Raw genomic sequence first — 16496 nt, 5'->3', positions numbered from 1 at the left:
GACTTGAGAAGAGTGCAGAGGTGATAGGATCGGTGGATGGATGGTCTAGGTAAAATAAAAGACTTGTTGGAATTGGGGCACCTGTGGGGATTAGTTTTAAAGTTAGGAAATGGTGGTCAGAAATTTAGGTTATGGAGAGGTTGCAGTTACCAGTAATGACAAGGCTTAACTTAACATCATGGGTGTAAGTGGTTGGAGTAGAATAGAGAACATTCAGAGAAAAGGTTGAAAATCTATAGGGAATTTTGCTGATGGCTGTTTGTGAATTTGAGTACAAAGTAGGAGTTTTCAGGGATTGGGAACAGGTGGGAGATGGGATCAGAGCACCCTCTACCTCTTAATCCCCAGTGCTTAGAACAGAGTCCAGCTCATAGCACGTAACAGATTGAATGAATGTTATTGGAGTGACAGAATATCAAAACTATTTCCTGTTGCTTATGTATACACTGGTTTATTAAAGGAAATGTGACATTAGGAATATGGTCAGAGGACTCATGAGAATCAGATCTTAATGGACTGTTTTACTCCTCCTTAGAAATCCAGGCTGCCATCTGGAAGGTGTGAGCTTTTAGGCAACTGTATACACACAGCTGATTCAGCCAAAACGAGTGACTCATCCATATTTGTGGCTGGATTTATATGTATTATTTTCACTTACTGTGGAATTAATTTATTGAATAATCTAAATAGAGTAATATCATCCCTTAGAATGTTAATGCCATTCTCTGTCTCACTGTGAGTACTATACACTTTTAACATTTTAATTACCAACTCCTCTAAAATAAGTTTCTGGCCTGGTGCGGTAGCTCATGTTTATAATCCCAGCACTTTGGGAGGCCAAGGTGGGAGGATCACATGAAGCCAGGAGTTCAAGACCAGCCTGGCCAACATGGGGAAATCTTGTCCCTACTAAAAATACAAAAATTAGCTGGGCGTGGTGGCAGATGCCTGTAATCCCAGCCATTTGGGAGATTGAGGCACAAGAATCACTTCAACCCAGGAGGTGGAGGTTGGAGTGAGCTGAGATCACGCCACTGCACTCCAGCCTGGAAGACAGAGGAAGACTCTCTCCAAACCAATAAATACATACATATGTACATACGTACACAAGTTTATTATTGACAACTTGATTGGATATCCTTCCATGTGAATTTTCTGCGACCAGCACTACCAGGGACTATACCAGGAGCTAGCTAGATTTGGTTATTTCCCAGTGTCTACCCCTTGGTTACTGGTAGGCAGAGGAGTCACTAAACTTTGATATACACCATCAGTTTTTCCCCTTATATTCTCTTATAAAAGCATTGATAAGAAATTACGTTATTATTATGTATAAAATTAAACCCATAGGTCATTCAATTTCCAATAAATTATCAGTATGTCCCAAAACTTTAGGGTAGAATTCTCATATTGGTTTGATCATCAGGAAACATTTTCAAATCTTTATATTAAAAACCCAAGTGTGGATTTGCTCACTTCATTCATTTAGCAGATTTACCCACATGCTATGGCAATGATAATGGATAGAAACAGACATGGTACATAATCTTATGAAACCTGCAGTCTGGTAAGGGAGATACATGTTAATCACACCAAAAAAGAAATGAAATTAAAACTAATAAGAGTTTCAAAATAAAAGTACTTAGCACTATTCTGGAAGGAATTGTTCTAATCATGGAGATCAGAAACCTTCTTGGAAGTCAATGATGCTTCTTTGAAAAACTCATAATTGAGCTAAGATAAAGGAGAAGAGGAAGCATTAACCAGGAAAAAAGGATGGGGAGAAGGAGCCTAGCATATGCCAAGATCTTGTGGAGAGAAACAATGTAGAGTTTGAGGAAACAAAGACCAATACAGTGTGTGGCAGGGAGCCTGGTACAACATGAGGCTGGAAAACATGGCAACATTGGGATTTCTTTCGTTATCTCAAGAGCAATGGGAAGCCATTGAAATATTTTCAGTATGGGAATTGTGATGGATATATGTTTTGCAAGATCTGTCCGGCTGCCATAGGAGGCAAGAGTAGGCTGTGAATGCCCTTAAAAGGCCATTGCAGTAGTCCACGTAGGAGGTGTTGGTAGCTTGGATGAAGGAGGGTAGGAATAGACAGAAGTGGATGAAACTGCACAATTATGTAAGGGGAACAATGTTAAGGTTGATGCTGGGTTGGATAATGGATGAGAGACAGGGATGCCTGCTAAGTTTCTGGCTTGCCCAACAAGATTGATGGAGGTACCATGCACTGAGCAAGAGAACTCTGGACAAGGAGCCTCTTTGGAGGGTAGTTTTATTTTCATTCATTCAATTCAATATTTAATAGGCTCTTACCAAGTGCCAGGCACTGTTCTAGGATCTGAGGATTTATTGATAATCAGGTCAAAATCCCTGCCTTCATGAAGCTTACATTTTCATTGGGAGGAATAGACAATTTTTTAAGAAAATAATTTCACATAGTAGTAAGCGCTGTGAATTAAATAAGACTACAGGTCTCTAAGGGATGGGTAAGACAGCTTTAGTTTGGGCCATCAGGACAGGCACCTCTAAGGAGATGACGTTTTAGCTGAGACCTGACTGATGAGGAAGGTGCCCATGCAGAGATCTGGGGCAGAGATTGTTTTCCAATTAGAAAGAACAGGGGCCGGGCGCAGTGGCTCATGCCTGTAATTCCAGCAGTTTGGGAGGCCAAGGCAGGTGGATCACTTGAGGTCAGGAGTTCAACATCAGCCTGGCCAACACAGTGAAACCCTGTCTCTACTAAAATTACAAAAGTTAGCTGGACATGGTGGCACACGCCTATAGTCCCAGCTACTTGGGAGGCTGAGGCATGAGAATTGCCTGAATCCGGGAGGCGGAGGTTGCAGTGAGCTGAGATCGCGCCACTGCACTCCAGCCTGGGCGACAGAGTGAGACTCCATCTCAAAAAAAAAAAAAAAAGAAGGAACAGCAAGTGCAAGTGTTTTTCCCTAGGGCAAGAACCCAGAGAGATTAAAAGTGTGGCTGGAGCCTGGAGAGGGAAGGGGAGAGGGCAGGAAATGAGATTAGAAAGGGAGGCCGAGTAAGGATCTTAGATGTTATTCTTTTTTTTTTTTTTAATTTAATTTTATATTCACTTTTTTTTTTTTTTGAGACAGGGTCTTGCTCTGTTGCCCAGGCTGGAGTATAGTGGTGCGATCTTGGCTCACTGCAACCTCTGCCTTCCAGGCTCAAGCAGTTCTCATGCCTCAGCCTCCCAAATAGCTGAGACTATAGCCACCTGTGGCCACATCTGACTAATTTTTGTATTTTTAGTAGAGATGTGGTTTTGCCATGTTGGCCAGGCTGGTCTTGAACTCCTGGCCTCAAGTGATCCACCTGCATCGGCCTCCCAAAGTGCTGGGATTACAGGTTACAACCACCACATCTGGCCCATTTTTTGCTTTTTGAGACAAGGTCTTGCTGTGTTGCCCAGGCCAGAGTGCATTGGTGCAATCACGGCTCATTGTAGCCCCAACCTTCTGGGCTTAGGCAATCCTCCCACCTCAGCCTCCTGAGTAGCTGGGACCACAGATATGTGCCACCATGCCTGGCTAATTTTTAAAAAAAATTTTTTGTAGAGTTGGGGATCTCGCTGTGTTGCCAGGCTGTTCTCAAACTCCTGGGTTCAAGCAGTCCTCCCTTCTTGGCCTCCCAAAGTGGTAGGATGATTACAGGCTTGAGCCACTGTGCCCAGCCTGAATTTTATTTTAGATTCAGAGCGTTTATGTCCAAGTTTGTTACATTGGTATATTGTGTAATGCTGGGGTTTGGGCTTCTATTGAACCCATCACCCAAATAGTGAACATTGTACCCAATAGGTAGGTTTTCAACTCTTGCACCCCTCCCTCTTCTCCCCCTTTTGTAGTTGCTGGTGTCTGTTTCCATCTTTATGTTGTGTGTACCTCTTGTTTAGCTCCCACTTATAAATGAGAATATGCAGTATTTGACTTTATGTTTCTGTGTTAATTCAATTAGAATAATGGCCTCCAGCTGCATCCATGTTGTTGCAGTGGACATGATTTCATTCTTTCTTATGGCTGCGCAGTATTCTATGGTGTGTATATGTACTACATTTTCTTTATCTAATCCACTATTGATGGGCACCTAGGCTGATTCCATGAGTTTGCTAATGTGAATAGTGCTGGAATAAACCTATGAGTGCAGGTCTTTTTCATAGAATGATTTCCTTTGGGTAGATACTCAGTAGTGAGATTGCTGGGTTGAATGGTAGTTCTAATTTTAGTTGTTTGAGAAATTTTCATATTGCTTTCCAAAGGGGTTGCGTTTCCTTTTCTCTGCATCCTTGCCAACATCTGTTATTTTTTGACTTTTTGGTAATAGTCATTCTGACTGGTGTGAGATGATATCTCATTATGGTTTTGATTTGCATCTCTCTGGTGATTAGCAATGTTGAGCATTCTTTCATGTTTGTTGGCTGCTTTGTCTTCTTTTAAGAAGTGTCTGTTCATGTCCTTTGCCCCCTTTTTAATGGAGTTGTTTTTTTCTTGTTAAGTTCCTTATAGATTCTGGATATTAGTCCGTTGTCAGATATGTAGTTTGCAAATATTTTCTCCCATTCTGTAAGATGTCCGTTTACTCTGTTGATAGTTTCTTTTGCTGTGCAAAAGTCCCAATTGTCAATTTGTTTTTGTTACATTTGTTTTTGAGTACTTAGTCATAAATTCCTTGCCTTAGCCAATGTCCAGAAGAGTTTTTTCTAGGGTTTCTTCTAGGATTTTTGTACTTTGAGGTCTTACATTGAAGTCTTTAATCCATCTTGAGTTAATTTTTGTATATAGTGAGAGATAGGGGTCCAATTTCATTCTTCTACATATGGCCAGCCAGTTTTCCCAGCACCATTTATTGAATAGGGTGTCCTTTTTCCATTGTTCATTTTTTTTGGTCATCTTTGTTAAAGATCAGATAGCTGTAGGTGTATGGCTTTATTTCTGAGTTCTCTTTTCTGTTCCATTAGTCTGTCTGTTTGTTTACCAGTACCATGATGTTGTGGTTGCTGTAACTTTATAGTAATAGGTTGAAGTCAAGTAATGTAATGCCTCCAGCTTTGTTCTTTTTTTTTTCCTTTTTTTTTTTGCTTAGGATTGCTTTGGGCCCTTTTTTTTTTTTTGCTTCCTTATGAATTTTAGAACTGCTTTTTCTAATTCTGTGAAAAATGACATTGGTAATTGGATAGGAATTGCATTGAATCTGTAAGTTACTTTAGACAGTATGGCAATTTTAACAATATCGATTCTTCCGATCCATGGGCGTGGAATGCTTTTCCATTTGTTTATGTCATCTATAATTTCTTTCAGCAGTGTTTTGTAGTTCATGGGGAGATCTTTCACCTCCTTGGTTAGCTGTGTTCCTAGGTACTTTATTTTTGGGGGGCCATTGTAACAGGACTGTATCCTTGATTTGGTTGTTAGCTTGAATTATTGGTTTGTAGAAATGCTACTGATTTTTGTACGTTAATTTTTGTATCCTGAAACTTTACTAACGTCATTTATCAGGTCTTTTGGAGGGATTGTTAGGGTTTTTTTAGGTTTAGAATCATATTGTGAGTGAACAGAGATAATTTGACTTCCTCTTTTTCTATTTAGATGCCTTTTGTTTCTTTTTCTTGCCCGATTGCTCTGGGTAGGACTTCAGTACTATGTTGAATAGAGGTGGTGAGAGTGGGCATCCTTGTCTTGTTCTTAGGGGGGATGCTTTCACCTTTGCCCATTCAGTATGATATTGGCTGTGGGTTTGTCATAGATGGCTCTTATTATTTTGAGAGGTATGTTCCTTCATTGCCTAGTTTGTTGAGGATTTTTATCATGAAGGGATATTGGACTTTATCAAATGCTTTTTCTACATGTATTGAGATGATCATATGGTTTTTGTTTTTAATTCTGTTTATGTGCTAAAACTATTCCCCAAAATCAAAGAGAAAGGATTTCTCCTTAACACATTCTACGAAACCAGTATCATCCTGATACCAAAATCTGGCAAGGACACAACAACAAAAAAAGAAAACTGTAGACCAATATTCCTGATGAAGGTAGACACAAAAATCCTCAACAAAATACTATCAGACTGAATCCAGCAGCACATCAAAAAGATAATTCATTATAATCAAGTGGGGTTTATTCTCTTGGATGTTATTCTGATGTCACTGGGAAACCTCTGGAATATCAGAAGCAACAAAGCAAATAGGATATGATTCACAGGGCAAATCAAGTCACTGTGGCTCCTCAGTGGAGAACTGCTGTACACAGGGCTGAGTAGAGCAGTGAGGCCTATTGGCCTTTTGAGGATTTAGGCTCAAAAACAGATCGCAGAATCAGTTACGTTAAACCTGGGAACCCCATGTCTTTTATTTTACAGGTTTCTTTCCGGTGTTTTCAGCAATTGTAAAACCAGTTTTACAGAGATCACAAATTTTGTTCATATATATAGAAAAAGGAAAAAAAAAGAACAATTTCTCTTTGGAATTATTTGTATTGTACTAAGTGATACTTGTTTAAAAAGGAAAACAAGTGGAAGATTTGTGGTTTTATCCTTCATATTGATTTGAAGTATGTTTATTGGTTGAGACTAACAGCCCTAGGCCAGTTTGAAGCAATAAGCTCTGCAATCACAGAAAATGATATCTAAGTTTAGAAAGCAATGTTTTGAATGTTACATTGATAGAATCAAAGATAATAAGTGAAGGCAACAATTACAAGAAATAATCAGGAAAGTTTGGAACTGTATTTGATTTTACTGGTTTGCCTTGTTTTGTTTTTAATTTAATTTAATTTTTTTTTTAAATAAATAGATATGGGGTCTCGCCGTGTTGACCAGGCTGGTCAAACTCCTGGCCTAAAGTGATCCTCCCGTCTCGGCCTCCCAAAGTGCTAGGATTACAGGCATGAGCCACTGCACCTGGACCATTTTTATTTTTATTTTTTGAGACAGTCTCTCTCCGTTTCCTGGCTGGAGTGCAGTGATGCAATCATGGCTTACTGCAATCTCTGCCTCCCCAGCTCGAGCAATTCTTGTGCCTTGGCCACCCAAGTATCCCAAATTGCTAGGATTACAGGCATGAGCCAGTGTGTCCAGCTAGCTGCCTTCTTTTAAAAAGTAAAATTGTTCTTGACTTCTAGGACAGTGATACATAGTCATTGTGGAAAACAGCAAATACTGACCAAACTAAAAAAGAAGGTAAATATCTCACATGTACTGTTCAGGGACATCCACTGTTAAATTTTTGAGGTATTTAGGTATATATGTGTTAGTATATTTGGTTATTTATTTATCATAGTGTAGAAAGGTTTTATAATCTATTTTTAGCACTGTTAACATATTTTCACATCATGAAATATTCATAATCTTATTTTTATGGCGACGTGCAATCTATAGTTACACCACAGTTTTTTAAAACCAGATGCTTATTGTTAAAATCTAATTTTTACTCAAATTTCTATTGTTATTTCTTAGTCTGTTTTGAAGAAATACTGTAAAGAAATCCATCTGTAACTACATTTTTGTTTATATTATTTTGTGTTTGTGAGTACTCCCCAAGTATTATTGTGTAGTCAAAGAAGTCAAAGAATGCTAAATTTTAAGGCTTCTGCTATGTTTTGCCGGCCCCCCAGAAAGATTGTACTCCCAATAGCAGTCTATGAGGTTGCCAGTTTCTCTACATCCTTGCCAGCTCTGGTATCATTGTGCTTTTAAAAATTAATTTTTGAAATTTGGTACGTGAAAAATTAATATCTCAGTGCTTTCATTTTATAATTATTTGATCATTAGTAAGGAAGAATACGTTTGCTGTTTGTGATTTGTGTGTACATTATATGAATTGCTTATTCATATCCTTTTTCTACTTTTTAATTAGGTTTATATTTTTCTTACTGTTTTTAAAGAAATACTTATGCAGCAATGATAATTCATTGTCAGTCATAAAAGTTGTATTTTTTCCAAGTTCTGCATTTTTCTTTTAATTTTTAAAATGTCTACGTATTTTGTTTATATAGCCAGGTCTGTTTGTCTATATCATATCTTCCCCACATAGATGTTGCATAAATTCTCTCATATTTCTCCTTCTGCTTTTTGGTTATGTTTTTTGCATTTAAATGTTTGGCTTATTTATTTACATATCTACACATAGGCATCTTTTTTTTTTTTTTTTTTTTGTCATTTAGAAAGAAAGTCGTGCTGTATCCCTACTGACTTCTCCAGCTGCTGGTATAAAAACAGTTGATCCTCTGCCTTTGCGGGAAGATTCTGAAGACAATATCCACAAATTTGCTGAGGCAACTCTTCCAGTTTCAAAAATTCCAAAATACCCAACAAATCCCCCTGGACAGTTGCCTTCTCCACCACATGTTCCATCCTACTGGCATCCCTCTCGACGAATTCAGGGCTCTCTTAGAGATCCAGAGTTTCAGCACAATGGTAATTATTTTGGTTTTAATTTTTTGTCTTTTAAAATAAAGTGTTATGCTGATAGGTACAAAGTCTAAGAATGCATTTTATGTTAATAAATCAGTTATTTAGTATTTTTGGTTAATGTATTAATAAAATTTCTTTAAATAGGAAAACTCCCTCCTTGGGACCAATTGTGCTGCACCTAAGTTCACTTTTTGCTGTTATATATGTGTGAGATATCTCTCAAGTTCTTATTCATACACATACAGGGAATCCACTAGATAGATGACAGTAGCACCTCTTCTCTGGATGTGACAACCAAAAATGTCTCCAGACATTGCCAAATGTTGCCTGGGTGTAGAATTCACAGTCAGAAATGACTTTCCTTTAGTGTTAGTAGGCATTGCTCAGCTCTTTTCTGGCTTCCATCGTTAATGTTAAGAAGTCAGATGCTCCTTTTATTCTGGATCTTCTATGTGTGGTGTTTTCTTTCTGGCAGCTTTTGGGATCTTCTCTTCATATCTAATGTTCTGAAATTTTATGATGTGCCTCTGAGAGAGTATTATTTTTTTTATTCATTTTGCTGGTACTCCATAGACCTTTCAATCTGGAAAATTCTCACTTCTGGAACATTTTCTTGAATTATTCAGTCAAAAATTTCCTCTCCTGGCCAGGCACAGTGGCTCATGTTTGTAATCCCAGCCACTTTGGGAGGCCAAGGCAGGCAGATCATTTGAGGCCAGGAATTTGAGACCAGCCTGGGTCACATGATGAAACCCTGTCTCTGTTACAAAAAAATTAGCTGGGTGTGTTAGTGCACACCTGTAATTCCAGCTACTTGGGAGGCTGAGGCATGAGAATTGCTTAAGTCTGGGAGGCCAAAAAAAAAAAATTTCTCTCCTTTCTCTATTTCCTCTTTCTAGGGCTCCTATTCAGATGTTGGACATGATTTTATTTTTTATCTTACCTCTCCTGTTTTCCATCTCTGTCTTTAAATTTGAAAGGGTTACTAATTTTTATCTTCTATCTTTTGTGTTTTTTAAAATTTTTATTTCAATAGCTTTTGGGGTACAGGTAGTTTTGGTTACATGGATGTATTCTATAGTGGTGAATTCTGGATTTTAATGCACCTGTTACCCAAGCAGTGTACACTGTACCCAACATGTAGACTTTTATCCCTTCCCCCACCCCAAGTCCCCACAGTCTATCGTATCACTCTGTATGTCTTTGTGTCCTCATAGCTTAGCTCCCACTGGTAAGTGAGAACATGCAGTATTTGATTTTTCATACCTGAGTTACTCAATTTAGAATAATGACCTCCACCTCCATCTTAGTTGCTGCAAAAGACATTATTTCATTCCTTTTAATGGAGGATTAGTATTCCGTGGTGTTCCTGTTTCTCTAGTTCCTTGAGGTGTGATAGTAGGTTGTCAGTTTGTGCTCTTTCAGACTTTTTAAGGTAGGCATTTAATGCTATAAACTTTTAGCATTGCTTTTGCTGTATCCCAGAGGTTTTGATAACTTGTGTCACTGTTACTCATTTCAAAGAATTTTTGAATTTCCATCTTGATTTCATTGTTAACCCTAAAATCATTCAAGAGCAGATTATTTAATTTCTATGTATTTGTATAGTTTTGAGGATTCCTTTTGGAGTTGATTTCTAGTTTTATTCCCCTGTGGTCTGAGAAGATAATTGGTATGATTTTCTTAAATTTATTGAGACTTGTCTGTGGCTTGTCATGTGGTCTATTTTGGAAAATGTTCCATGTGAAATGATGAGAAGAATGTATATTCTACAATTGTTGGGTAGAATGTTTTGTAAATATCTGTTAAGTCCATTTGTTCTAGAGTATTGTTTAAGTCCATTGTTTCTTCGTTGACTTTCTGTCTTAACGATCTGTCTAGTGCTGTCAGTGGAGTATTGAAGTCACTCGCTATTATTATGTCGCTGTCTACTTCATTTCTCAGGTCTAGTAGTAATTGTTTTATAAATGTGGGAACTCCAGTGTTAGGTGCATATAAATGTAGGACTGACTGTAATACCTTCTTGTTGGACTGACCTTTTTATCGTTATATGATGACCTTTGTCTTTTTTTAAATAGTTGTTGCTTTAAAGTCTGTTTTGCCTGATATAAGACTCCTGCTTGCTTTTGGTTTCCATTTGCATGGAATATCTTTTCCTACCCCTTTACCTTGAGCTTATATGAATCTTTGTGCATTAGATATTTGGTTTGTGGTTTTTAATCCATTCTGCCATTCCATATCTTTTAAATGGAGCATTTAGGCCATTTACGTTCAATGTTAATATTGAGACGTGAGGTACTGTTCTATTCACTGTGTTAGTTGTTACTTAGATACTTTGTTTTTTCCGTTGTGTTGTTTTATAGGCCCTGTGAGTTTTAAGCTTTCAGAGGTTCTGTTTTGTTGCATATCAAGCTTTTGTTTCAAAATTTAGAACTCCTACTTAGCATTTCTTGTAGTGCTGGTCTGGTAGTGACAAATTCCTCAGCATTTGTTTGTCTGAAAAAGACTTTATTTCTCCTTCATTTATGAAACTTAGTTTTGCTAAACTAACAAAATTCTTGGCTGATAGGTGTTCTGTTTAAGGAGGCTAAAGATAGGACCCCAATGCCTTCTGCCTTGTAAGGTTTCTGCTGGGAAGTCTGTTGTTAGTCTAGTTGTTTTTCTTTTGTAAGTTACCTGATGCTTTTTGCCTCACAACTGTTAGAATTCTTTCCTTCATGTTGACTTTAGATAACCTGATGACTATGTGCCTTGGTGATGATCTTTTTGCAATGAAGTTCCTAAGAGTTCATTGAGCTTCTTGTATTTGGATATTTAAATCTCTAGCAAGGCCAGGGAAGTTTTCCTCAATTATTCCCTCAAAGGAATTTTCCAAACTTTTAGCCTTTTCTTCTCCCTCAGTATCACCATTTATTCTTACATTTGGTTGTTTACATAATCCTATATTTCTTGGAGACTTTGTTCATTTCATTTGATTCTTTTTTCTTTATTTTTGTTTGATTGGGTTAATTCGAAAGCCTTGTCTTTGAGCTCTGAAATTCTTTTTTCTGCTTTTTCCTCCCTCTTGGACCTGGCATGCAGCTATCTTCTACTTGTTCTAGTCTATTTTTGAAACTTTCCACTACGTTTTGTATTTCTCTAAGTGTGTTTTTTATTTCCAGATGTTCTGATTGCATTTTCTTTATGATATCTATCTCTCTGGGAAATTTTTCATTCATATCCTGAATTTTTTTTTAATTTCTTTATGTTGGTTTTCACCTTTCTCTGGTAGCTCCTTGAGTAGCTTAATCATCAACCTTCTGAATTTGTTATCTGGTATTTCAAAGATTTCATCTTGGTTTGGATCAGTTACTGGAGAGTGAGTGTGATCTTTTGAGGGTGTTATAGAACCTTGTTTTGTCATATTACTAGAATTACTTTCTGGTTCCTTCTTTTTTGGGTAGACTATTCTAATTGTTCTCAAATTTATTTTTGATTTGACTATGTGTGTTTTTTTTAAAATTTTTTTCCCCTCTTAAGAATGTGACCTTAATGATTATAATTTGTTATAGTTTAATTTGGTTCTTGGTGCTTTTAGGGGTGAAGAGTCTTTATAAGTTCTTTGGTTATAGAGAGTCTTTGTATGATGGCTTCCTCAGTTGCTGGTTGTAGTAGCTGTGTACTCAGTGTGTCGGCAAGTTCGCTGTCTCCTGTGGGGTTGGAATGGCAGAGGTCTCTTGAAGCTTATCTCATTCCCCTGTGGTGTGTACTTTTTCATTTATTTAATTTTTCTCCAGTATTTTGTTTACTGAGTTGATAGTTCAGGCTTCAGGCCATTAGGGGAGGTATCCCTGGGTAGGAACTTACTGTGGCTAAGGTAGGTGGGTGAATGCAATACCCACTGGTGGGCACAGGTCCCAGCCTTGATGAAGGTGGCTGGGGGAGCTCTCAGTTAAATGCAGTGAGGTCTTATCAGGGTGAAGGGTGAGAATGCTATCCAAGTAGATAGGAATTGTGACTCTGCCTCTCATGCAAGCCTGCATCTGGGGAGTGCTCCTCCTGTGGGGAAGCAGTCACCCTAAAGTGTTCCAGGAAGGCTGTCTATAGGCACACTCATACCGAGTCCTGTGGGAGAAGTCCCAGCTGTGTCTGCAGTGGTGGACAAGGGGAAATAAGACCCCTTCTCCAAGACCCTTCATGAGCACTAAGCTTGCCTGACTGTTGGGGTGATGGGGTAGACTCCCTGCTGAGCCTAGCACTGCAATTGTGTCTCTGCTGAAAGAAACTTCCCACCAGTGGAAAGATCTGGGACTCCTGAGATTCCTTGGTTGTAGATAGGCTTAGGGTGCTGGCTTTCTTGCGTGTTGGTTATGATAGTTGTGAACTTGTCACGTAGACAGATTCAGGACCACTGGTCAGCTAGGGTGTTGCAGGCAGTGGTGATAGCTGAGGTCAGGCACTGGTTTTCTGGGCACAGCGTTATTCTACCTAGAGATGATATAATGGACTGTGTCAGTTGGCCTCTAATCAGGAGGTGCTGCTTGCAAAAGAGCACCAGCTGCAGTAGTAGCAGTGGTAATTGAGCTTTCCCTGTGTTGCCCAGGGGAGGTATTCTGGCTTCTCACACCTGGGCAGGGTTATAAAACTCCCAAAAGTTTATGTCGTTTTTGTTAAGCTGTGGAGGGGCACAGCCAGGCAGGGGCTGGGTTAGGTGGGTCTGCTCTTTGACTCTCCACATGCCGTCTGTTAGTTTTTTAAAAAGATTTTTGCTCTTTTTAATTTCTAAGAATTTTTGAACATTGCATATTGCTTTTATACAGCATCCCATTCTTATTTCATGAATGGAATGTTTTATCTCTTTGAAGAGGAAAATGATACATATAATGCCTCTGTTTTGAATACATTACCCCTGCCCACAGTTGAACCTGGTATCCTTCAGTCAAAGTATCTCTGGTAAACTTTTAGAGACGAAACTTCCATGCCTCTTTGGGAAAGAGGGAACTACCCAGCTGTGCAAATTTAAAGGAGGACCTGGCATATTAACTATTTTTGTAAAAACATATTTAGGCAGCTTCCTGGTTCAGTCTTCCCTTCACTCCAACTTTCAGTGGTACTCAGTATGCCCAAACCCAGAGCCATCAGGGGAACAAGTTGGTTGTTTCTTGGTTTCACTCTTCTGCTGGCTTAAACTTCCACTTACTTGGGTATAGTTATACACTCACTGCTCTTCCATTTGCTTTCCATGTTCCAAAAAGTTTCTTGCTGTCTTATTTGCTCCCATTCTCTTTGTCCTATGAGTTTGTTCTTCTTGTAAATGCGTGTATTTAATTTACCATCTCTAATCAGAAGCCTACTACATTTCTTTAAAGTTAGAATAGATCAATATTATCATTGGAAAGAATATTAGGAAGTTATCCATAGTTTGTTTACATGCTTGCTAAGTGCATTATAAATTATGAATGGCCCTTTTATGGTAATTTCTATTAAGATATAAAATTAATTAATAAAATCTTTTTCATTTCTTAAACCTTTACTCACATGTAGGTTTGATAATTAATAAAATTTCTGACAGCCTACTTTTACTAACAGTTTAGTATATAATTGAGATAAGCTGTTCAGTGGCTTTTGAAGGATAATTTATTCTGCCTTTTTTTTTTTAAGTGGGAAAAGCAAGGATGAACAATTTGCAGTTACCTCAACATGAAGCCTTTAATGATGAAGGTATTTCAGTAGTCACATAACATAAAAGTTTGAGTTCTAGTCTATGAGAGTATAATGGCTTTACATTTGATTAGCACTTTATAGCTTATGAAGTACTTCCACAGATTTTTCATTAGATCCTTGAAACCCTGTGAGGGGGAGTGAAATTACCCCCATTTACAAATGAGTAAGCTGGGAGTAAAGTGGTAAAAAACTGTTCTAGGGCAAACATACAATAAGAGATTGTGCCTGACATCACAGCTGAGGTCAGTGTTCTTTTTCTTTTTCCACCTTGTCTAGCTGGGGGCTCAGGAATTTGGCCTAGTGTTACATCCATCTTTTAAAAAAATGCCTATATATTTTTGTCAATTTTCCATGGTCAAACAAATACATGATTAGAGAAAATTGACATTATTCTTTTTTGCTGTTTCGTTTTGTTTTGTTTTTGAGACGGAGTCTCGCTCTGTCGCCAGGCTGGAGTGCAGTGGCATGATCTCGGCTCACTGCAGCCTCTGCCTCCCGGGTTCAAGCGATTCTCCTGCCTCAGCCTCCCAAATAGCTGGGATTACAGGCATCCGCTACCACACCCGGCTAATTTTTGTATTTTTAGTAGAGATGGGGTTTCACCATGTTGGCCAGGATGGTCTCAAACTCCTGACCTTGTGATCCGCCCACCTTGGCCTCCCAAAGTGCTGGGATTACAGGCGTGAGCCACCATGCCCAGCCTTTTGTAGTTTTTATTCTGACATTTATTTGCTTATAATAGTGGCAGGAGACTTGAATTCAATATGAATAATTGAATCACTATTTTAATTCATCCTAAGAAGTATGGAATTACTGAACTTACAAAGTTTGAATTGGAAGTAAATTTAAATTTCATACTCTGTATCATACATTAAAGACTTTCTTTCCGTTTAGCAGGTTTAGGACTTTTTGTTATAATTCATTGAGCTAGAAATCAAGTTGTATGTTTTGAAATGCAAATGTCTGACAACTTTGAATCCAGTCCTTTTTTCTTTCTAATGGAAGAATAGTGTCTATAAATAACCTTATAAAAGATTTGCTTACTCAGAATGAGGAATTTCAGTATTAAGGAAGGGTAGCATATTAAAATCAAAAATTATTTCTACATTTAGTGAGATTATTTTAGAAATGTGATGTAAATGCCATGTTAAGGTATGGCATTTTGTTTTTAAAAAGTTTAGAAAAGCTTTTTGCTCAGAATAGCTGTGCTTTTTAAAGTAGGATAAAACAGTATTATGATGAATTATTTTCAAGTAATACTGAAATCATAGGCCGTGTGCTCTGTTAATGACGGGATTTCAAGAAGGAAAAAAATTTAACGATAAATGTTAAGATTAAAAGGTTTGATTTCTATATATGATAAACCTGGAAAACTACTGTGAGGTATCATGAGAGTGTTAGTATCTTACATTTCAGTAGATTACTTTTTTTCCTGACTAACTTGACATTGATAACACAGTTTGATGCTTTTAATTTTCTGTTATATAAAACACAATGTTTATTTAATAGATATTTTTGGCAATGAATATAATCTCGGGATTTTTTCATTGCAGATGAGGACAGATTGTCTGAGATTTCTGCTCGCTCTGCAGCTTCTAGTCTCCGGGCTTTTCAAACTCTGGCACGAGCTAAGAAAAGGAAGGAGAATTTCTGGGGTAAAACATAAACCTAGCTGAGTTGCCTTTATCTAAGGAAACATTGGCATAATTTTTCTTTATTGCTTACTGTGTTAAAATTTTTTGAGTGAAGTTTTTCCTAACGTTTTCTACTTTGAAATATTTAATTTCCAATAGAACAGTTTACTTGGAAATTGTTAACATAGGCTTATACAAATTTAACTTTTAAAGAATTCTTTTTACATCTATCCCAGAGTACAAAGACCTAGATTATTGAATTCTTCACATGTAACTTTCGTAATAGGTGTCATGGATAGATTTTCACCTATCCAGAGAGTATTCTAAAAAAATAAACAAAGTGAAGTAAAAGTTAAGATCCCAGTGTGAAGTATATATTCCCCTAAGATTTGATATATGTATCTTTATAATTGATGATGTTGTAAAATGAATTTGTTGTTCCTTTAACCTTTGCTGTAGTGTTTCTTTTTATTTTAGTTCCTTCTATACATGTTTGCAGTGTTAAGATAATTGTACTTTGAAAACACCAGCTGTATATATTTTTCTTATTTATGTAACAAAGTTTGCTGAAAGATATGTATATTTTTGATCTTTGAGTGTATTCTATTTGTGTAAGGACTTTGGCTTACATTTGAATAATGTCTAGATTTTGAAAAATTACCTGTATAATGGAGAATTAAAACTTTGTAGACATTTTGAAATAAAAATGGATCAAGTGCG

The 16496-nt window shown here is 37.5% G+C and overlaps 1 protein-coding gene across 14 annotated transcripts in view; it reads left to right on the top strand.

Annotated features, from left to right (window-relative positions):
- The window catches only part of MDM1 (Mdm1 nuclear protein), a 37797-nt gene extending 21301 nt beyond the window's left edge, over positions 1 to 16496 (top strand). For 12 of the 14 annotated variants that reach the window (NM_001354974.2, XM_047429161.1, NM_001205028.3 and 9 more), the window contains 3 exons: positions 8190 to 8442; positions 14080 to 14139; positions 15696 to 16496. In NM_001354974.2, coding sequence (NP_001341903.1) covers positions 8190 to 8442; positions 14080 to 14139; positions 15696 to 15808 — 426 coding nt within the window. In that variant the 3' untranslated portion in view covers positions 15809 to 16496. Of the gene's footprint in view, positions 1 to 7148; positions 7207 to 8189; positions 8443 to 14079; positions 14140 to 15695 lie in introns of those variants that run through there. The other 2 variants (XM_047429162.1, XM_011538569.2) reach the window with 1 other exon arrangement.

The sequence above is a fragment of the Homo sapiens genome, chromosome 12, assembly GCF_000001405.40.
Source record: "Homo sapiens chromosome 12, GRCh38.p14 Primary Assembly".
NCBI classification, from domain to species: domain Eukaryota; kingdom Metazoa; phylum Chordata; class Mammalia; order Primates; family Hominidae; genus Homo; species Homo sapiens.
The sequence above is the reverse complement of the archived record's forward strand: the minus strand, read 5'-3'. Positions and strand labels throughout refer to the sequence as shown.